Here is a 23837-nt window from a genome sequence, read left to right as displayed (position 1 = left end):
ATGTCACGTTTCAAGTACTCAGAATGGAACCTGAGGTTCAATTTACAGCACAATCCATTCAGCCCTTGGAGGTTCTGACACAAACTGAGTAAGGCTGGTGGACCCAATGGAAAGGGAGGGGGTTTGTCTTTCAGATCAAACCTTACAAACAGCAATTTTCTATTTGTTCAAAACAGATGTTAGGACCATTTTCCCTCCCCAGTGCCACTTTAAGGGGCTTTTAGGGATGACCACTGAGAGTCTGAGATGTTCTGAGCAACACTGCCTCATCTTTCATCCAAAGGTAAGAGGAAGGTCTGGCCCCTTGTGGAAACAGAACCTGCAATGCTTTAAAGAGATGTAACTAGTGGAAGAGACTTGACCAATTCTGAGTGCTTGTTTCCTTTCCTTTCTTGATATTATCAAGGACCTTTCTGCCCCTTGATTTAACCAGGGGGCATAGCCCAAGGACCATCTCCTCTGAGAAGCTTTTCTCAGCATCCCTTCTTTCCCAAGACAGCCTTAGTTTCTTCATCCTCTATCATAGGATCCTCTATCATAGGTTCATTTTTGTTCTGGCTGATTCTTAATTCTACTCTATTTCCATAATTTAGGATTAAAATTCCCTTCTGTATGTTCCTATAATACCCAGGCCTTCTCCTATCATAGTGCTGACTACTGACTCCTTAACTGATCTTGAATATCTCAACTCAAGATTATAAACTCTGCGAGTTCAGAGATCATGTATGTCTTATCATTGAAAAACCCCTTAATAACAAATATAACACAAATATATCTCTCTTACAATGCTCCGCACAGTATGTGTGTGTGTATACACACACACACACATAAATCCTAATATATGCACATAATATTTATATATATAATATATATAATGGTAAATAAGATGTCTGATTCTCCCACCACACTGTGAAGGGTTTTTGTTTGTTTGTTTGTTTGAGACGGAGTCTCACTCCGTTGCCAGGCTGGAGTGCAGTGACACGATCTCGGCTCACTGCAACCTCCGCCTCCCAGGTTCAAGTGATTCTCCTGCCTCAGCCTCCTGAGTAGCTGGGACTACAGGCACGTGTCACCAAGCATGGCTATTTTTTTGTATTCTTTGTAGAGAAAGGGTTTCACTGTGTTAGACAGGATGGTCTCGATCTTCTGGCCTCGTAACCCACCCACCTAGGCCTCCCAAAATGCTGGGATTATAGGCATGAGCCACCGTGCCTGGCCATGTTTTTTGTTTTTTTAAAGAGACAAGGGTCTCACTCTGTTGCTCAGGCTGGAGTGCATCGGCGTGATCATAGCTCATTGCAGCCTTGAACTCTTCAGCTCAAGTGATTATCCCGCCTCAGCCTCCCAAATAGCTAGAACTACAGGTGTGTACCACTGGACCTGGCTAATTTTTTTTTTTTTAATTATTTTTGTAGAGGTGGGGTGTTGCTTTATTGCCCAGGCTGGTCTCAACCTCCTGGCTGCAAGCAATCCTCCCACTCGGACTCCCAAAGTGCTGGGATTACAGGTGTGAGCCACCATGCCCAGCCTAACCTGGGAGTATTTTTTTTAGGTCAAACACCATACCGTTAATTCTTCTATTCTTAGTATTTAACAGAAAACCTGGCATATAGTTGATACTATATACATGTTAAATGAATACATGAATGAAATAATAAGGAATAATGACGGGCCCTCTTTAAATCCATCCAATCATTTCTCAAGCATGACTTATACTGGCACTCATAAGTTGGGTGTGAATTACCACCCCATTAGCAGCCAGCCTACATGGTTCACTCTCTACTCACTTACTTCTTTGTCTTTCTATCTCTCTGTCTCTCTCTATTTTATTCTATTTTATCCTCTCTGTCCTAATGTACAGATTAAAAACAATAATAAAGTCAATCTCTTAACCCAGCTAAAGTAACCAGTCTCTCAGACAATTTTTGCATTTATGGTATACCTTGATCCATGTTCACGAATGAAATGCAGACAGTCTGCCATAAACATCTTCATGAGTTTCTAAATTATCATCATCTGTCTTGAATTTTAAGGACTTGATTATTTCAGCCTTTTAAAAAAATATATTGAAGGCTAAATAATCATTTAAACTAGCCCCAAGAAAGTTGGGCATATCTAAATTGCTTGTCAAAGAAACAGGTTTCTCATTTCAAAAGTGAAAACATGTATAATTGGAAATGAACTTTACTTTTCTTACCATGTAGTCCGTCAGTTCCTAAAATAATCATAGTTGTTTCAGAGTGTGTCGTGGCTACTAACAAGTCAACTCTGGCCAATAAGTCCGGAAGGTAAGAAAGTATTAGTTGGGTTTTTTGTTTGGTTTGTTTTGGCGACTTTGGGTAAATTGGTTTTTGTCTTGGCAGATGAAAGCCAAAGTGAATTTAAGGCCTCTCTCTGTCTCATTCTCAGGATTTCCTTATCAATAAAAGGTTAGCATGAGCCAGGTGCAGTGGCCTGTAATCCCAGCACTTTAGGAGGCTGAGGCAGGTAGATCACCGAAGTCAGGAGTTTGAGACCAGCCTGACTAACACGGTGAAGCCCTGTCTCTACTAAATACAAAAAAAAAAAAAAAAAAAATTAGCCAAGCATGATGGCGCATGCCTGTAATCCCAGCTACTTGGGAGGCTGAGGCAGGAGAATCGCTTGAATCTGGGAGGCAGAGGTTGCAGCGAGCCGAGATTGTGCCATTGCACTCCAGCCTGGGCAACAAGAGTGAAACTCCATCTCAAAACAAATAAATGAATAAAAAAGGTCAGCATTAGCAGAGCAAATTGCAGTGAGTGCCATGAGCATTGCAGGGAAGGAGTCGTCTTCACATCACTGCCATAATGAGCAGAGCACAGGACAGCCATCTTTAGTTTATACAATGAAGAGAAGACACACAGAGAGCCGACACGGAGAGACCATCGCAGCCTTCCAGTATTGAGATACGACCTCCAAGGCAAAGCTAAGTCCAGATGGGGAGAGAAATTGTAGATGATCAAGGTCCTGCTACATGAAATGAGTTCACACGGAAGGAGCAAAATGCCTGCTAGAGGAAAGAGCGGATCGGCAGATACCTAAAGGAAGGATGATAAACAACAACGTCCAGGTAGAAAAGGTAGCATAGACAATAACTGAAGCCCAAAGATGACATAAGTAAGCACAAGCAAGTGGGCAGGACTCTAGAGCTAGGGCGATCTGAGACCAGCGATTTCTAACACTTTATTCTCACACTGAGGCAGTTATGAAGAATAAAACTCCCTAAAGAAACTCCAAAAAAAATAACATTAGAAAACTTAATCTCTTAGTTATAAAATATTTGGGTCTGGATAGGCTGCCATTTGTGAAACTTATTATTATTATTATTATTATTTTGATGACTAGAAGTTTTCAAATATCCTGAGGTGATATATTGTATATTGAATTCTATATTGAATGGTATCCCCAAGGGATGTACCTTCTCCTCCTCAGGTCAGTAGCTCATTAATGGCCAAGACAAAGGAACTGTGAATTCCTTAATAGCTCCACAGGGAAACTGAAATCAGTAGGATTGCCAATACTCAGGGAGACAGAAGTAAAATTCCAATTGATCTCCAAATAGTGGCAACATAGGACTACAGAATCAAAGTCAAATAAAATGAATTTATCAAAATGTTACTGATGCCTACTACTATGTGCCTGATCTGGCAGTGACCTCAGTTCTAGGGATACAGAAATGAACAGAAAAGGAAAGGTCCTAGCTTCCACGGAACTTACTTTCTAGTGTGAGGAGATGAACAATTTGGAAATAAATAAATGCAAAACTATGAGTTAGAAATAAATATCATGGAAACAACTAAAATAAGGTGATTTGATAGTCACCAAACAGCTACTTTCTACTAAAAATTTAAGAAAGCCCTTTCTATGTAGGTGACATTTACACTGAAATCTAAATGATAAGTGGAAGTATCCATGTAAAGATTCAGGAGAAAACCATTACAGAGGAAAGGTCTAATATGAAAAAGCTGCCCTGTGAGAAGAACAGAAAGATGGTCAGTGGCTGTAGCTTAGTGTGAAAAGGGATTAGTTGAAAGAATTAGTAGAAGAAAATAAGGCAGAAGTCAAATCATGAAGGACCTTATTTTCAGTTGAAATAATATAATTTGATTTAAGCTTTAAAAGACAAGTTTCACTTCTCTGTGATAAACGGATTGTCAACACCCAAAGTGGATTCAAGGAAATGAGTTGGGGAGGGGTGGTAATTTAAGAGACCACACCAAGATGGGGCTTGGATGAAGATTATTAATAGTGGAAAAAAAATGGAAATATTTAGGTTATTTTTAGAGATGAAGTCAATGAATTTGGTAACAAAATATATAGAGGTTGCATGAGCAAAAGAAAGAAGTCATGGAAAATATTGATTTGGGGGAGTGTTAAACAATTGAGGGGGAAATTAGAAGAACAGAAGAAGCAGTTTTTTTGGTTTCTTTCTTTTTTTGTTGTTGTTTTTTTGTGTTTTTGAGACAGAGTCTCGCTCTGTTGCCAGGCTGGAGTACAGTGAGTCGATCTCGGCTCACTGCAATCTCTGCCTCCTGGGTTCAAGCGATTATCCTGCCTCAGCCTCCTGAGAAGCTGGGACTACAGGCGCTTACCACCACACCCAGCTAATTTTTGTTTAACATCTGTTTGTTTCTGTTTTGGTCCATGTCAAGATTGATGCTTTTTGGACTTCCATACTGTAATATTGTTAAGAAGACCTTTTGATGGATGGATCTAGATTTCTCATCATAATTAGGGATGTAAATTTGGAAGTCATTTATAAGACAGAAACAACTTAAAGCAGAATACTTAATACAAAAAAAACAAAAACACCAAGACCTACCACTAGAGAAATGAAATTAGCTAATAAAATATATAAAGCTGGAAAGAAACTGGAGTCATTTGTCAACTACAAGTTAAATATTTTCTGGCAATGCCACTATCATGAGAGGTAATCAAGCCACCGTGAGTGTAGGATGTGCTCACAGATATATTACAAGCATAAGAAAAGAAATCATCCTTCTACCCAATCCTAAATACTATGTTCAATTTTAATAAGTGTAGAAAAACTGACAATAAGAGTAATTAAAGGTAAAAAGCAAATGGTTCTAGAAACAGGTTATATGAATTTTAGGCAGCTTAGGGAAAAAGAAGAAGAAAAACTGAATTAATTACCATTGCATCTTAATTTTTGTAAATGAGAAAGTTTCCAAATATTTTAAAGGGCTATTTATCGACTACCAGAAAGGGATAATGTCAGTGAAGGAAATTAGACAGAATGTAGTTAGATAGGTGGAACTATTAATTATTTAACATACAGATAGAATAAGGGAATAACATACAGATAGAATAAAGATTTCCATGTGACCCTTCTAAAGAGAACAGTCAAATATTTGTGGATAAGAATATAAGTTCCCAAGTACACACTACCATTCAACAGTGTATCCCAACCCCTATTCTAACGCTAGATAAATAACATATGCTCAACAAATATGTATGCAATAAATGAACAAATGAATAAAATCTGTCTTGAGTTGCATATCATGTCATTTCCCAGAACTTAAAAAGGCTTTTCTAGCCTAAGGTATTTCTAAGAAATACATTGAGGTCCTTCCCAGCTGTACTTTTCTAAAAATCATACGTAACTCTGTAGCAGGCTTATTCTGCATAGATCTGAGTGGCAGATTACAGGTCAATGCACAGAGATTACAAGTAGATTTACTATTGCTCAGCATGAAAAACAATCTTTCTAACAACTAAAGCCATTATACAAGATGGGAACTACGTAAGGTGGGCATTTGCAGGTCAATTAGCACTGTGATATTCTGGTAAAGTGAGGTAACTTTTTGGGGGTGTCACAAAACTATCAGCTACACCAGGTATAATACTAGTTTAAAGGACTTCTATAAGACCTTTTCCTACTTCAGGTGTCTATGACTATGATACTAACATGACATAAACTAAAAGGAATAGAATCTGCCAATAACAATCAGAATCCTCCTCAGAAGTCTCTAGCACAGAAATAGAGAGCTACAGTGGTCATTGAGAATCAATGTTCCTCCCTCTGGTAAGGTGTATTGCTCCATTTCATTTTATCCCCAGTACATGAGGTGGTAGCATTTTAGCCACCTGGAAGTTCTTCAGAACAGTACATGCACTTTTGCTTTTCAGAGACATGTATTGTTTGGAACTATTGTTTTCATTTGAAAGTTTCTCTGAACAAAATGCTAGCACAAACAACCAAAGAAACACAAAAGGCCAGGTGATGTTTTCCTTTCTGTTTCCAAGAACATCCCATTGAGAGACACTGACAGCTTGTCAGGGCTAAGCAAACAGTCACACCCTCGTCTACCTGCCCATTAGGTGCTCTGCCGATTGTGAGTTTTCATCAGATCTCTCTATTCAGTGGGGGCCCATTGTTTATCTCACTCTAATGCTTCTCAGGTACAAAGGAGATGGAGGGTTTCCCTGAAATAGCACTTAGTTCTAATCTCAATGCATCCAAAAGTACATGGTCACAAACAGATGGATTCATTTGTATGCTGTTTTGCGTTCACGCCTATCTGGCTACCTATCATTTCAATTTGTAGGAAACAACATGCCTAGTTAGCCTAGCTAAAGTTTCCCCAGCTTTTCAATTATTACTCTTATTTTCTCTTAAAGGTGATGTAGCTATTATTTAAATCTGAGAGCCACTACATCCCAGTGGGTAATCTGGTGTCTTTTTCCTATTCAAATATTAATATACATACATCTGTATATAAAACAATGTCAGTCTGAGATCTATGACAGAAAATGGCAATGAACTGATTACCTAACCTATCTTCCTCTTAAAATGAGCTTTGTTTACCTTGAGGGTTGTCACTTAATTAGAAGCTCCTAGTGAAGAAAAAGCTGGCTTAAGTTTCAGAAGCTTGTATCTCACAAGCAGGAGACAAGATCAGTCAACAATTTCATAAGAAAACATTGATGATAATAACATTGTCAAGCCCTTACAAAACACTCACTTAGCCTTTGAAAGAGGAGTGCAAAGGATAATTCCCAAATGAGTTGGTTGTTGTTGCTGTTGTTTTCTAACACATATACTCAACAGCTGGCATTTAACCCCTTCGAGGGATTGCTTTAGAGAATGGCATTCATAGAAAGGCAAGTAAGCAAAAATCATGGTCTCTGTCATGTTCAAGAAAACATTTGTAGCATTTATGACAAATGGCAGTATCAACATCCTATAAATGGGATAATGCCATTTCAAAAGCTTAGTTTGAAAAATCATTCTTAATACTTTGTAAGTTAGAACAGCCAAACAAATGGAGGGTGATATTATCATTGTTATTATAAGAGGAAATTCAGTGGCAGTGCAGTTCTTTTTTTTTTCTGAACTCTATAAACATTTTTACCAAGAAAAGAGATATATTACATTGAACAAGGGAAAACTCAAACTTAGTAGTGATGACTTTGAGAGTCATGATTTGGTCCTACATAAATATCCCTAAATGAATATTGAGTAATTTTCCCAACTTGGATGGTTTCCTTCCAGGCATAATCAGACAAGTACTCCGTTTGGAAGTGAGGCAGTCTTTGGAGATAAACTTTTGTGGATCAGACTGGACGGTTAGATGTAAGGATGCCAATATTTGACAAAACCAACACTCTCTTCCATGTACTCTTGCCATGTCAAATATGCTCTTCTCTTCTACCACCAAAAGGAAATGACAAAAATAAACTCTTTCTTTCCTCAGCACAAGGAAACTTCTGCAGAATGCTTTTAAGAATCAATGATTAAGTGCATGCTAGGTCCCTACCACAATCAAGGAGAGTGATGGCCAAGTTTAAGGGTCGGTTGCTAGCCTCTTCTCCAGGACTTATAGGGAAGAAACCAGGCCAGCTAAGTCTGTCTGTAGGACATTTATCAACTCTCTTATGAAGATTTAGATGGAAGTTTTTAACATGATGGGAGCTAAGAAACATTGCCTTGCTTGGTTTAAAAACAAGCTTGTTTTAAGACTCAAGCTGTCTTCTCTGAGAGTGCAAGTCCTACTCAGTCCACAATAGAGATAGCTCTTTCCTCTACAGAGGCAGATGGGTTTTGTTAGCAGAAAAAATTACCTACCAGACCAACTTTAATCCCTTAAACTGGCATGTAAGTTCGTCTGAGTCCTACCCACCTCTATTTACATTTTTGGTCTCAATCAAATAGTACCCTGAACACTCCCTACATTACTTGAATTCTGGACTTCGGTCAAAGTTTCTTCTTTCCCTGGCTTGCCTCTCACCTCTCCTGTAAATCCTAGTATCCCTCTCTCAAAGGTCAGCCCTCACATCACCTGCTGCAGGAGATGACATGAGGGCTGAACTTTGAGAGAAGGATGCCAGGCTCCTTACACACCAGGCTTCAGTATTCCAGCAATACACACAGCTGGCATCCTTTAGCAGACATTGCTTTCACTTCTAGTCACACATGTACTGCCTAAACACCTTATCTTGAGTATAGTCTCCTGGAGGGCAGGGACTATGTCATAAGCCTAGGTGTACTTGTTATAGTATATAGAAAATTAGCAGCCAGAACAGAAGAGCATCCATGACAGAAATCGAACTTGGTGCTGCCAGGTATACATGTCTAGCCTTGAGAAAGGTATTTAACATGTTTGCTTTTTGATGCCATTATAAGTGGGTGATAAAAAGGTACCTACATACATAGGTTGGGCAAGCATTAAATGAGATAATTCATGTAAATGGTTTAGAACAGTGCCTGGAAAGTCCCTTAATAAATACTGACTATCATTAATATCAAGCAATTCTAGTCTTTGGATACTACCAAAAAACTATATAAATCAGTAGTAAAAGGATAAGAAACAATTACACTGGGAACTTTTACAAGCTCATCCTTGAGGTGGGAGAGCGCTCCTCTTACAAATGGCTCCATGCATCTTTTCAACATTTATATGCACAATCTCTCCATATCATAGTGGTAGAACTATTTCACTATAAGCTAGGTTAAGCTTTAAGAAACTGGTAATATTTGATCATTTTTGACCTAAAAATGGCGATTTCATACGGTTTCACTTAAAATGGTCAAATTGAGAGAATCCTTCTTAAGTCCTTGCCAAAAGGACTGAAGCTTGGATTTGGCATTAGGGAATTCTAAGCCTTTCCTGATTACAGTCCGATGCTTTCCAGTAAAATTCTTACTCTAAACTTGTTTATCTCCCAATATCTAAGACCTGGTAGTTAGGCTAGGGTCCACCTTGCTGCCCATGTGAATCCGACCAACTGTACTCTAGATAGGATATTCTCCACCCACAAATATTCACTCTTCCAAATATTCACTTTGCTGAATCTGAAGCGTGAAATTCTTTCCCTTCAGGGCATAAATACAAATGAGACTCATCCATTCCCTTCCAAAAACACAAAACAACAACAGCAACAAGTTGTCGTCATCGTTGTCATCGTCGTCATCATCATCATCATCTATTCTCATTCAACTCTGTCCTTGTGGAAGGTCTTGCATATACACTGTCAGCTCCATTTCATAATCTTACTCTTTGAAAGGAATAATCTATACTGTCTCTATTTCATTTCATTGCTTATCATCCATTCAGTAGCTCATTCGTTTATAAATCTATTATAGTCTAACTTTCATCCCCACCTCTGTTTCAATTCTACTCTGACAAAAATCATGAAAAACCTCCTTTATTGCTTAATCCTAGGTTGTTTTTTATTCCATAACTGACTTGATCTGATTGTAGAATTTGATGCTATTAATCACCCCTTTCTTCAGCATTCATGAAAATATTTCCCCTTAGTTTCTATATTTTGGCCATTTCTCTTTAGTCCGTCCCATAATTTCTTCCTGCCATCTGAATATTGGTTTTCAGCAGAGTCCATAGGAGTCCCTGGTTTCTCCTTGTACCCACTCTCTTGAGGCATTGAGCCCACTACCATAGCTTTAACTACCACCTAGTGGTTAATGACTTCAAAGCTAAAGTGTCAGCCTAGACCATTCCCGAACTTCAGATGAATATATCTGACAACTCATGGCCATTTCTGCTGAAATATTCATAGAAACCACTAACTCAACTTCTCTAGAACTGAACTCAGTATCTGTTACATGTACCTAACCCTCCTCTTCCAATTTCCATCTCTCCTATTTTGGATTACTGATCTTGGCTACTTGAACTGCAGGTCCTTCCTGCTGTCTTCTGCCTTATCTGACCACTCATTACCACCCACCCCATTCATTACACCTCCCCATCTGAATTATCTGGCCTACTATTGCTGCTTATGAGTTAGATGATGTAAAGGCTATTAAATGGATGGATGGATAAATAAATGGATGAGGAAATGTACAAATGGGTACAAAACCATGCAGAATAACTCATCACAATCCTCTCCACTAAAAAGCTGCTCATTAGCTCATTAATAGGGTAGGGAGCTCTCCTTACCACAAATGCCTGACTGGCAGAGGTGTGTGTTTCATGGCCACGAGGGCACCACCCCAGTCTAGGAACCAGACATTGTACTCTTCATCAAAGATCTGGAACAACAACAACAACAACAACAATCATAGCAACACCTTACATTTGCATAGTGCTTAACAGTTTACAGTCTTTCACATATATTGTTTCATCTAGGTTCTGAGCCTTCCAACAGCACTATCAGATAGTTTTTGCAAGTATTATCTCCATTTGATTGATGAGGAAATGGGCTCACAGAAAACAAATAACTGTCCCTAGGCCACTCAAATTGCATTTCCAGGGCTCTTTCCACTACTAGTACTGTGAACCAGCATGCTACATGAAGGTGAAGCAACAAGGTGCATGCTCAACTAGGTAACCCAACGGAAGTATGACTTTGAAGAAACTTCCCTATCTTTCCAGCTAATTAAGTTACTACTCAGCCTTCTCTTCTTCCTCATCTATTCAGATGTTTGCTAATTTGTCAATAGTCTGTGTTTTATAGTGTTGTTTATACATTATCTAGGAACTTAAAAGACAATTTCCTACCCACTATGGTAAAACTAATAATTGAAATAGCCACCACCTCCCTGCAAGTTGGATGAAGACCCATGTTGGGTGTCTATGAATCCCTACTCTAAGTGGTCATTGAAACACAGTACTTCCAGGGACCTAACGTTATTCATTCTTTATTTCATCTATTTGTCTGTTACTTATCCATCCATTCACTCATTCATTCCCTTATTCAGTATTCCATCCAACCATCCATCCCTCCATCTACCCATAGGCATTTTCTAAGCACTGACTTCAATACAAGGTTCCGAGTTAAGAGAATTTCAGACCTAAGCCCACATATATCAATGCTTATACCAGATATGACTTTTATATCTCCAACCTTAAACAGGAAAACTATTTCTCCAGCAGAGAACTAATCTCGACTGTAGATCTTCTAGGGGAAAGTATGCTTGGAGAATTCCTACAGCACTTAACCACTGATGGTGGTTCATGCAGCCTAGATGGAGAAGTTGGGATGGTGGGTTAAGTGAAGAGGGCTAGAAGAGGATAAGGAGACGATACAGTCAGATTTAAGGGGTGAATGTGTAAGAGGAATGGGGCCTCCTATATATATGCCCCAGGGAACCTTAGAGAGAAAAGTAGTTTCTCAGTCCTAAACCTCTTTTTTTACATATTTATCTTCAAAGAAAAGAAAAATGTCCCTATTAATGATGAGCCCCAATGCACAAAGGACCTAAGGGTGATTCACTTATATTCCAGATATAAACATAGACTCTGAGTCTGCAATGTTAGGCTTTTCTCTCCAGAGCTTAAAGGATGGTTCTGTGATAAGCCACATAATGGAGATGCTGGGTTGAACCCTAAGAATGAGGAACATAGGAAGAGGCACTGGGGAGGAGGGAGAAGTTATCCTTATCCTTTCCTCTTAATTTTACCATCTGGCCACTGCTCATTTTTGCCCTGTCTAGTACTGGAGTGAAAAAGTGGATTCCTTAGCTGTTTATGAAAGGAGGAAAGAAAAAGTAGTGACAACGTTGGTCAAGTGAGCTACTTCTTGAGGTAGAGAGATCTCCAGAAATGGTTTGCCTATGAGGAGATTTTTTTTACCAGATGAGTTTGTATTCCAGCTTCCACCCTCCTTTGGCTCTCGTAATAGGTTATTTTACATTTTGAAGGGTATGATCTTATTTATGTATCTGCTCCCCAGCCACCTGATTATGGCCTTGTGGGTAGGAACCTTAACTTATTATTGACTGTGTGCCTTGCAGTACTTGACATAGTTGCTTTTGTCTCGTAAGTACTTGTTAATTTTTACAACGCTGGTAGTGCTGACACTGGAGGCAATGGGGATGATGATGATGGTGGTGATGACAATCTTCACTAAGGGATCCAAACAGGAACTTGTCTAACAAGATATTCATTGTCTTTCTCTTGTCTTCTCCACGGAGAAACTGTCTCACTTTTAAGACTTAGTAAAATGCCTCCCCTCCTTGTGATGTCTTTCCTGGTTTCTCCAGCAGGATCAATTCGTCTCTTTTCTTTGTATGCTAATAATGCCACTAAAATATTATTATCACCCTGAATTATAGTTATCTAGCTACGAACCCATTTCTCCTATTTAATTTTGAGCTTTTTAAGGAAAGGGACTCCAAAGTATTCAATTACCTCCTGGAGCCTGACACCTAGTTGACACTGTATAAGTCTATTTGTCCAATATAGTAGCCATAAGAGAGTATTTAAATTTAAATTAATTAAAATAAATAAAATTAAAAGTTAAGTTCCTCTGACACAGTAGTCATATTTCAAGTGCTCCATAGCTGCATGGACAAGCACAGATACAGAACTTTTCCATCATCGCTGAACATTCTATTGGACAGCATTGCTGTAAGTGTTTGTAAAACTGAATTAACATTTCATGCAGTCATATATCTGTTTCATACTTACTCATATATAAGCATATAAGCTGTTTCATACTTACTCAAGACAGTCTATACAATACTTAAACAACCACTGACTTCCATGGCTTTGTCAGTTTTAATGTTCCAATCCTTGCATTTTGTAGATACAGAAACACATCCCCAAAGGTGAAGAGACCAGCTTGCCAAGAACTCTTGGCACACTAATGATAAAAACAGTTTCATCAGTTGTATCCCCAGCAACCAGCACAGTACTTAGCATCTGGACCTGTTACATACATATGGCTGAAGGAAAGAATAAGTGAACTGGGAAAATTCCAGTTCCTCCTATTCCCTGCCCAATGCCCTTCTCATTATACCCCATTACCCCTCTAACCTGCCAGCCAAATTGACCAAACTGAACAGCTGCTTCAAATGTTTTGAAATTACAAAGTCATAATGAGGCTGAGAATCTATAGGATGGAGAGAGAGATTGGTAGAACTTACTCTAAATGCCTCCTCCCTTTTTGTCAATTCACCCAGTTACCTGTCTCCATGTGTTGCCCCCATCGGAGGAGATGAACACACCAATATCAGTATATGAGAGCTCCGGGCCAATGTTGCCTGAAACATAAGCAGATCATTTGAGATTGTCAGGAGTTTACCAATTAAGTGTGCTTAGGGCTGAGGGATGGGGGAGCAGAGAGTAAAGGTTTTCTAAGTGATATTTACAGCTAATTTGTGCAGTTTCTTTTCTGGTGTCATATCAAAAGCCCAGCAGGATGAAAAACCCAATATGGGAAAAAATCTAAATAGTATGACAGAAATGCATCATTCAATGTCATGAGTCAAAGACAATATCGATTAGTCCAGGTCTCTTGAATTATTCAGTCTGTATACCAATAATCTCTCACATTGCTCCTGACAGGTGTCCCCTGAAGGAAGCAAAGAGTGGAAGAGTAGACACATATGGAGAAATCTGGCATAGGAGCCTGAGAAAAACTGGTGTGTGTGTGTGTGTGTGTGTGTGTGTGTGTGTGTGTATGTGCGTAACTGTGTGTCTGTGTGTATGTTTGAAACTTGTCAGAATGTCCTTTGAGTGCCAGGCAGTTGAGTGACCCAATGGTACAGATTATGTAACCTAAATTATACGGTGCCCAGAAGAAGATGACCACACTCAGCATACCATGGCCATCAAGCATGGCAGCAAAACAAGTCACCTGGCTTATGCCTAGACCAACCATACTTGCTGCTTCCATCCCTTCACACTCTCCTCTCTGCCCTTCTTTTTCTTCCCCTGGCACTCCATCACCTTGTGGCTATGCTTATTAAAAAGAAAGTGGTCAAGCTTTTCTAGTCCATCTATATTGATTTCGTTTTCCCAATGAGCAGCCCTCTTCTCACAGCCTAAAAGAGGCCCCCAACCTAATAGTGCTCAATAAATAATTGTGGAATGAATGAATGGGAAAACAAATGATTGGATCATGTTCCAATGTTGATGTGCACTTGAGGAAGTTCTGACAACCAGGAAGGAACCCTAAACATGTAAGAGTTTATCTTACTGGCTGATATTTTTTCTTTAAAAATAGCAGGAAGAGAATGTTAGCTCCCACACATCTGTAGCCTAAATAGGAGCACAACAAAAATGCAATAATGAAAATGTTAATTGAGCTCCTGACATTTAATGCTTCAAGATGAGAAATTAAAGCCAGGCTACAGCTTGTCAAGCTTCCATCAGCATCAGGAAGCACACAGATAGCCAACTTGTTTTGAGACTCAAGATTTCAAAAATAACCCCTGGGCTCAGGGCTCAGGGTTCAGGCAGTAGGTGTGGGAGGAGTAGGGAGAGGCTTGGTGAGTAGATCCATGGAGTTCTGTCTGGAATTTGGAATTCAACTCCCCAGATACAGGTTTTAGAAGACACAGGTAAGGAAAGTAAAGGGAAATGGGGAGGAGAATATCAACTCGAGTCGCTTAGTGGTTGTGCTAACCTGGAGCATTGTGTTAAGAAGGATTCTTTGGTTTTGACAGAATAGAATGTGGTGGTGATCAACAGATGTCTACCAAGGGTGACAGAGAAAGAGGGAGGCAGGAGCACTGTTGCTCCAGAGCTGTGTATCTTCCATCCCTGGCATGGCTTCTAAGGATCTAGCTTATCATCCCTCACCTTCCTTAGAAGCTGGTTCTGTCAACATCTTTAGCCTCTCTTTCAAAGCTCGACTAGATGGATTTTGGGGGCCTTATGGTGGTAAGAACCCAAGGCTCACAGTGAACTCTATTTGTGGAAATATCTTCTGTCAATTGAAGAGACCTCTGAAAGAAAATGTTACGGATCACAGAGACCAGAAAGTTGGTTCCCAGATGAAGGGACAGAAAAGATGTACCCAGGAGGAGTTGATCTTTGAACATGTACAGTCCTTAGGTGGCTCTGTGGGTGATTTCTGATAGGAAGAGCCGGAGTTATGGTGTCAGAGAAGGAGGATTTGAAAAATGAGCCTTGCTGGCTGAAGTGGAATTGGAGCTCAGCTAGAGTGGCTGCCAACCATGTTGGAAGAAGGGGATGCAGCTGTTGCCCACTTGAGTGGTATGATGAGAGAGGAGGGAGAGTGAGATGGAGAAGAAGAACTGGGATCTTTTCTCACCAACAGCTTTGCTGGTAAATGATGGAGGGCCCATTGCCCTTTTTGGAAGTTTTAAACAACTTGCTTTCACCCTCATTTCCTCCCAGTGCTATCCTTCTCTGCTCCTTAAATATTAAAAAAATAAAATAAAAGGGAGAGAATATTGAAGTCCTCTGAGGGCTAGCTACGCTTCTCTCACCACCACTCATGCCAGAGGGAGTTGCTGCCCATACAGGGTGGCTACAGGCTCAGTTGGGGAGGAAGCTGACAGTATACAAGCAACTTGCCCCTGCAGGGGCAGGGGCGGGAGGAGGGCCTCCACAGAAAGAACAATAGGAGGGTGTGAACATTCAGAGTTTACAGGAAGTTTGGCAGGGGGTCTGGTTAGCTGTGGAGCTGGCACGGAAAGGGGCTCAGAGACGGGTCTGGCTGAAGGGCTACAGAACAGAGTACTAGAGGTGGAATCAGAGAGATTGTGGGCTGGGACATGACACCTGTTTCCACCTGCCCACAGTCTCTTCATCTCTAAATTGAGGAGTATAGTAATTGCCATTTCTACATCATCGTGCAGTTATGCAATCAAGGCAAGAAAAGCAAGCTTTGGATGCTGTAAGGCACTGCAAGGATGTGAGGTCTTTATTACTAGCTTGAAACCACAGTGTTAAGGATATTAGGAACCCTAGTGTTTCTGCTTGCAAAAGGCAATTGCCAAACTCTCTATACTAGATTTCCATCTGCCTTCGGAGATGTCCTCAACCAGGAGTTAAGAGATGAATCCCAGGGTATACTTTTATCCACGCAGCTTCCCTGAGACCACATCTCAGTGCAAAGTGGGAAAAGGGAGTCAGCAGTGGGAGTGGAGAGAGCCCAGGGTGACTGACACCTGAAGGGCAGGTGGAAGGCATGGATATGGGAAAGGACCCTGCAGGGGCAGGCTCCATGCAGGCCACTGAAGGCATAATTGGCTGACGTCATAGTTATCTTCCTGATGGCAAATAACCTCCCAAGGTGTCCAGGGCAAGCAGGGTAAGGAGAAGCTGGGTATGAAGAGGCACGCGCCAGTGACTTAGCCCTGGCTTTTCATCAGGATCTCATCAGCTGAGTTATATCCCTCCCAAAGATCCAGGGCATGGCAAAAAGCCTCAAGAATTACAAGGGGAGATAAAAAGAAATTAGCAATTCTGATACATATGGGACAAAAAAATTCAAAAATAAATCTTTAATGTCTGTGTGTTTGCTAATTTACAAAGTACTAATTTAGAAGCAATATGCTGGTCACAGGTAATAACAACTACCATTAATACTACCTTATGATGCTCTGTGCACTCTGCTGGGTCTTATAGACACATACTTCCATCTCTAATTTTTACAACACCCCCACAGTTTTACAGATGAGAAAAATGAAGCTCAGAGTTTAAAAACTAAGCCAAATGCACAAACCTAATAAGTGTCAGGGCTCAGCCTGGAAAGCAGGAGGACAAGTTTCCTGAGTTTCTCTGTGTGCATAGTGCATGCATCGGATTTATGGATTTATTGAAGGAGATGAGCACATTATATTCTTCTGATGTAAGAAGAGTTTTAACTTCTATAACATTAATGATGATAAGTAACACATAGTGAGTATTCAATATGCCCCAGGCACTGTTCTAAGCATTTTATTCATTTATTTATTATTTATTGAGCCAGAGTCTCACTGTGTCACCCAGGCTGGAGTGCAGTGGCACCACCTTGGCTCACTGCAACCTCTGCCTCCTGGGTTCAAGCAATACTACTGCCTCAGCCTCCCTAGTAGGTGGGACTACAGGCATGCACCACCACACCTGGTTAATTTTTGTATTTTTGGTAGAGACGGGGTTTCACCATGTTGTCCAGGCTGGTCTCAAACTCCTGACCTCAGGTGATCCACCTGCCTCGGCCTCCCAACATGCTGGAATTACAGGCATGAACCACTGCGCCTGGCCATTGTTCTAAGCATTTTAAATTCATTGTTTCATTATATCCTGCAATTCTATTATTTTGGTACTATTATGCCCACTTTGCCAATGAAAACACTGAAGTTCAGAGTGGTCAACCCACAAAGAACAATGCCTGGCTACACACTAAATATTCAGATAATATTAACTTTTATCATTCATCCCTACTTTTTGATGTAGCTTCCAGTTCAGACCTCCTGTAGGTCTTGAGGAGAGGCATAGGGTCCCGCAGCCCTTGAGTTGGAAAAACCAATCCACATGGATTGCAGAGTGTGAGGATCACTTCTCCAGCTAGGGGAACAGCAACTGAGCCTGCCTTCATCTCTCCTCAGCCTGGGCTCCCTGAAGCCAGTGGTATTAAGCATAGTGGGCTTGCTTAATACCACTGTGGTGTCAACCATCTGGGGTTGACAGGAGTTGACTAACATGCCAGAAGGCTATGCCAGCTGTCAATCTGATGAGAGTGGTTCATCACTGGTGGTATCTAAAAGCTCACACAGTTGGAGGCTTGGAGAAGGAAGCCATGCCTAGAGAGTAGGAACTCCAGGGACCAGAGCTTTGGGTTGATGAGAGAAAACAGAATGTACCAGCTCCGAAAGTCACTGTGAATTTATCTGCTTTCATTAGAAAAATAAGCTGACCAACACCGGAGCTCTAACTTCTAAGATTAGCAGGCTGCCTTCCTTTATGCCATCAATGTATTCTTGAAAAGGTGTATGGAAATGCAGTGCATGCTAATCAGAGCATACTCCCCGGAGACTTTAGCTTTCATCTCAGAGTTGCTTTATCTTCATCTCTGACTGATGCTCAGTGGACAGTGATTCCAACAATGCAACCTTAAGTTTTTCTGCCCTTTGCCCTCAGGCTCTCAGCCAAGGGGTTAACCATGTGTAAACAAGCCTTTACATGCACCTGATTAAAAACAGCTCTGGGATGGAACCCTTTGTAAAGAATCATCTGTTCAAAGAGAAAACTACCCCAACTTACATCTGGTGAGCTAGGAAGTTCATATATCATGTTTTCTTAAAGTGTGGATTCCCTATTACAAACAACCATTCTGATTGGTCAGTTTACTTTGAGAGAAACTCTGGCCTCTTCCTAAGCACAGGGGACTGCTCTGTGTCTGGGGGGAAGATGCATGAGCCTAGGAATTACAAATGTCTGGAGCTCTTTGCATGTTAGGTTCTTAGATGGGTATTGAGGAACCCTGCATATTTTCTGGGGCGAGTGCTCACAGCTTTCATCTGATGCTCAAGTGAGTCCATGATCCAAAAAGAGGTGACAAATTTATTCTAGACACTCTCAGTAAGGAAGAAGCACAGGGAATGTTTTTCTTACCTGTAGCCACCACAAGTCCTGGGGCTGTCTCCTTGCTAGAGATTCTTCCTGAGGAATATGGATTTTCAGAGAGTTGCAGGTGCAGATGTAAGGAACAGAAGGGCTAAAATGGAGAAAGAAATAGTTTCATTCTAGGAAATTCCAGACACCTGTACCCCTGCCCCACTAGAGATGGGCTTCCCGATGTTCAGCTCCCAGAAATAGCAAGGCATTGGATGGTGAGTCACACAGTTTTGGGCAGGAGATATCCGCACCTGAGATAGCTGGTATGCTCACATTAGAAGCTCCACTGAGTACCTTCCATAAACCCCCTCCTGCCTCTGCCCCCCAACCACAATCTCGTGCCTTTCCCTCTCTTCCTCACCCAACCTATCCAAGTTCCAGTTCATGGCTGGCTTTATGAAGCCTCCTTGACCATTCCTTCTACCAGGATGACACTAACATTCTCGCATTTCTGATCTTGACCATCAATTCTGCTTCTTGGAGTTGTAAGGGCCCTCTGGGAGGAGTGAAGAGTGGAAGCTATGTGAACTAGGCCAGGCCCTCCACCTTCTTCAGCCAGATTGTCTCTGTCTCTGTTTTATATATTTTGTTCTTACTTATAATTTTACTTAAAATATTTGAAGCCATCATCTAAAACCTATATAAGTCTGTGTTCTCTATTTATTCATTTATTTATTCATCTATCCCCATTGGAGTGTTCTTAAAAGGGCTTGGGGATTTACAGAGACATATTCTGTACAACAAATACAAATAAGAAGATGAAGAAATAGAAAGAAAGAGAAAATCAGATTAAAATAAGATGAAGCCATGGGCAAGGTTTGAGGAAAAAAAAAATGCATGCTGTGACCAATTCCTAGAGGTAAGCAGGCATTTCTCTCTGACCCTCCTAGTACCTGAAGCAAAAATTATATGGAATAAGGCTGAAAATTACAAAGGGAAAGAGCGCTATTTGCTGTATTTACCATTGTAGTCCCAATTTTTAACATAGGGTCTAGAATAAGATAAGTGGTTAATAAATCTTTCTGAATAAGTGGCAAGAGGAAACTTTTTGCTCAGAAGAAACATAACCATTTCTGGGACCTTAGAATTGTTTCTTACAGCAGTCCTTATTCAGAGGGCACTGAAGATTGTGGATTTTATTGTTAATGAAGCCTCTTGCCTCCTCACACAGAGCAGAAGCACCTGGAGCCAGAGATACCATCTCACACATCATGTCTTCCATGGTGCCTACCCCAATATCCCATACAACAGGAATCCTGGAAATGCTGATAGATTAACTGTCCCATATGGACATTCCAGCCTAAGCTCCCCCTGGATTCTCAAAGCAACTTTTGCTTGCCTCAACATCTAGCAAGCATTTACCAAAACACAATGCATCATGTTAGTATCAGTTAATAGATGTATTACTACTACTGAGCTGTGCCTGGGACCCTTGAGTACAGGCTCCTTCTCTTATATGTTTATTTGCCTTACTATGAGATGGAGCACATAGTAGATCCTCATTAAATGCCTGCATAATTCAACTGGGCCTTTCACCCAATTGGTGCTGCACTCTGAGTCCACACACCAATGCCCTGCAAGTTTTAGAAAATTACTGCTCTGCACCACCTGAGTTCCTAAGACCCTTTGACGAAACAAAGCCCTCGACACAGCTTCTGCAGGTGGCCAGCCTGCCCTGTGAACTTCCCATGAGGCTGAGTGACTGACCAGCAGGCAGTGCACTGGGCTTCCTCTCAGGTCCACATCCGGAGCTTGCAGCAGGCGCCAATCCCTGCCTTTGTTGTAAGTGATGTATGTCTTCACCTGGTCGTCCACCTTCTTGTTTGCCAGAAATATCCCTTTGATACCTGCTACCTAGGAAAAAAGGTGAGAGATGGAGAACCATGCTGGGCCAACATGCCTTTGGTCTTGGAGAAGCCCTTAGAGAAGCCGCAGAATTTCCCACGGCATGTTGGGGTTCCAAGCAAGAAAAGAAGGAACATGATAGGAAACGTTGAATGCCATGTGGTCTCTGAAAAATGTTTAAAAAGTTCATCTCTGAACCTTATGTCACCCCCTAGATGTCCCTTTCTATGCTTACCCATCTGTTTTTTTCCCAGTTTGCTCGTCTCTGTACTTTGTTCCATAGGACTTTACCTTTAATTAACTATTAACATTCCCTCTGAGATGGGAGTGGCTGACAAGAACTGAAGGAGTTACCCCTTCCAGCAAACATGTTTTTCTGCTCAGAAGAGGCCTGTAGATGGGTATTTCATAACAATGGAAGTTGAGGCATTGTGATTAGTAGTAATGAAGATATCCTGGGGCAGATGATCCAGCTTGGAGGCCTGGCATCTGTCTCTTTCCATGCCACTAGCTCACTATGTGACTTTGGATAACTCCCATATCATCTGTGGGACTCAGCCAATGGTCGCTTTGAAATTGGTGGAATAAGCCCTATTCCTCTTCTTTTTCCCAGTTGGCTGGCAAAGGATCCATGAGACTATGCAAAGCACTCACCAGTGTTCCCATGTTTTGAGATTTGCACGCCTTTGATATTTTGACGGGAAAAGAGCATCACCACAAAACAAGCCGCTAGAGGATTAAAGGAGATTTATCACCCAGAAGGGTTCTAGGGTAAGCACAAATTCTACTCAAACTTTTATTCCTTATATTCTATATGCTGGGCAAGGAAAGCAGATACTTATAATGACAACATCCTGCATCAAAGAAAGATTCCCTTAACTCTTTTTCCATAGAAGTTATAGCATGTTTCAAAGGCAAATAGCAAATAGCATATTGCCAAAGGCAATTAAATTAGTTTAAATATATATAAACAATAGGTTCAATGGCAGGTTTTGTGGGTGATACTCAGATATCTTAAAGTTTTAATTGTATTTATCCCCCATTCTTCCAGTATCATGGTTAACTGAGGTTTACTCACTTCGGAGAGAATGCCCCAGTGGGAGAAAATGGTAAGAGTTTCACAGAAGTGAGCTTATTTTTTTGTTTTCAAATGACATAATTTAATTGACGAAATAAAAAGTCTTCTCTTCTTTTTTTAAGTAACCTGATTGGTCTTGAAAGAGAATGCCAGCCCAAATAAGAATAAACAAACAAACAAATGGACAGAGAATCTCAGGAGGAGAATAGAATTAACTGGAAGGACACCACCAGGGGAATTTGACAAAGGGCCAACAATGGAATTGATTAGATTGCTACCTGGAACAGTGGGTAGGTAAGCAGAGAAACCAAGGTAGGGCAGGGGCATGATGTCTGAGCCATGCCCTCCCTAGAGACCTCCTCTTTGCCCTAATGGCTTAAAGTCAGGGCCATTTCAGGAAGGACAGCATCTCAAATGCTCATCTAGGGACTATGAGCCCCTCAGATCACCTCAGTCTTTAAAACCAACTGCAAAGGTGCATCTCCTAAACCTGACTACTAATCATTCCTCACAGAGAATGGAATCTGGGATTCTCTAGAACCTTCTACCTGATGGAGGCCTTTCAGTGTTCTGTTTAGCCACAGAGCTGGTGCCTTTTCTGCTAGACCACCACCTAATGATTCCAGAGGACTCACTCCCCTAAACCAGTTACCCTCTCCCACAAGTACCCAGGGCCTTGCTATCCACTTCTTGGATGAAAATATTTGGATCAGACTCAGACACCTTGACCCCGGTTCAGTTTTTCCTGGGGAGCGGCTGTGGCCCCCTCTGATGCCCCCAGCTCAATGCATCACAGAAAGAATTCCAGCCACTCAGCAACCTCTTGTGATCTTCCAGGTGAGCAGGTTAACAAATTAAAGAATCATTACCATTACCATTACCATGTTTTCCGACTGAGCACTTCACCATTTGGACGGGCATTTTCTGTGTGTCCCACATATTCTGAGAACAAAACCAGGGGAATGGGGACTAAAAAGATGTAGAAAGGACAGACTCCCAGGGAACCCACTTGCAGCTGTGAGGATGCTTCTCCTGCAGTTGTACATAATGCCGCAGCAATCTCCTTCCCGTCTGAAACAAACGGAACATTTCCCACTTGTGTTTGGATAGTTCAAAGCCCTTACATTATTACTGAATCACTTTTTTGGCTTCATGTCTTGTATAAATGGACTGCGAGTTTGGAAGGCACTTGGCTTTTGTGTGTCCTAAGCCAACAGCTTTCACACTTTTTGACTGCAACCCAAGTAAGAAATACATTTATGTTGCAACCCAGTAGACTCATACCCATATATGCATGTATGTGTACACATGTATGTACACATATATTTCTAAGACAAAAGTATTATGAAGACTACGCACCCTCACTAAATGCAATGTAAAGGAATTGGAGAATGAGACATGCGTTTTTACTCATCCTCATCCAAGGAGCTACAAAGCATTGAATTAACTTTAAACATACTTCCACCCACTGTTGTTTGAAATCAGATGTTTGGCTGCTGCTGATTATTTCAGCAGTCCAGGGAGAAGGGTAACAGCTTGTGATGGTGCCCACGGAAGAGAACAATACAAGGTGTCTAGCCTGTGTGGCCCACTTTCCCTCTGGGAATCAATTTGAGTGCAGAGGGAAACTGACAGCAGGCCCCTTGGCGGAATGCTGAGTCCAGGTGGCATGGTCATCTGTTGGTCACCTCCCAGAGACCTCAGGACAAAGAAGCCAGGGCTCTGCTGAGAAAAGCAATTACCATGATCTGCCTTGGGCTGTCCCTAGAGTCCCACCTGTGGTGAGGGGCTGAGGAAGGTTGGTTCAGGGAAAAAAGACCCTGTGGAGTCTCTAAGCAGCTGTCCTTCTGGCCCGATAAAGGTCACTGAAGGTCCTGATAAAGCAGAGGGAAGATGACAGGCTCTAGGGAGAGGAAAGGCAAGGAAACATCAATAAGATGGGCAAAGAGACCAGAATACTGAGGCTGGATGGGAAGTTTCTTTTTTTTTTTTTTTTTTTCAGATGGAGTCTCACTCAGTCACCTGGGCTAGAGTGCAGTGGCACCATCTCAGCTCATTGCAACCTCTGCCTCCTGGGTTCAGGCAATTCTCCTGCCTCAGCCTCCTGAGTGGCT

At 41.2% G+C, this 23837-nt stretch overlaps 1 protein-coding gene and 1 long non-coding RNA gene across 3 annotated transcripts in view; one reads left to right on the top strand and one right to left on the bottom strand.

Moving 5' to 3' along the window:
- Positions 1–23837, bottom strand: part of SORCS3 (sortilin related VPS10 domain containing receptor 3) — a 623953-nt gene that overhangs the window by 87451 nt on the left and 512665 nt on the right. For both annotated transcript variants that reach the window (NM_014978.3, XM_011539542.2), the window contains 4 exons: positions 20508–20654; positions 18798–18900; positions 13413–13489; positions 10443–10534 (listed from right to left, as the gene is read on the bottom strand). In NM_014978.3, coding sequence (NP_055793.1) covers positions 10443–10534; positions 13413–13489; positions 18798–18900; positions 20508–20654 — 419 coding nt within the window. The remainder of the gene's footprint in view (positions 1–10442; positions 10535–13412; positions 13490–18797; positions 18901–20507; positions 20655–23837) is intronic.
- LOC105378465 (uncharacterized) lies at positions 31–21938 on the top strand. Its single transcript, XR_946286.3, has 5 exons — positions 31–88; positions 177–283; positions 21259–21416; positions 21697–21754; positions 21846–21938. It is a non-coding gene; the product is annotated as an uncharacterized LOC105378465 (long non-coding RNA).

The sequence above is a fragment of the Homo sapiens genome, chromosome 10 (assembly GCF_000001405.40).
Source record: "Homo sapiens chromosome 10, GRCh38.p14 Primary Assembly".
Lineage (NCBI taxonomy): Eukaryota > Metazoa > Chordata > Mammalia > Primates > Hominidae > Homo > Homo sapiens.
The sequence above is the reverse complement of the archived record's forward strand: the minus strand, read 5'-3'. Positions and strand labels throughout refer to the sequence as shown.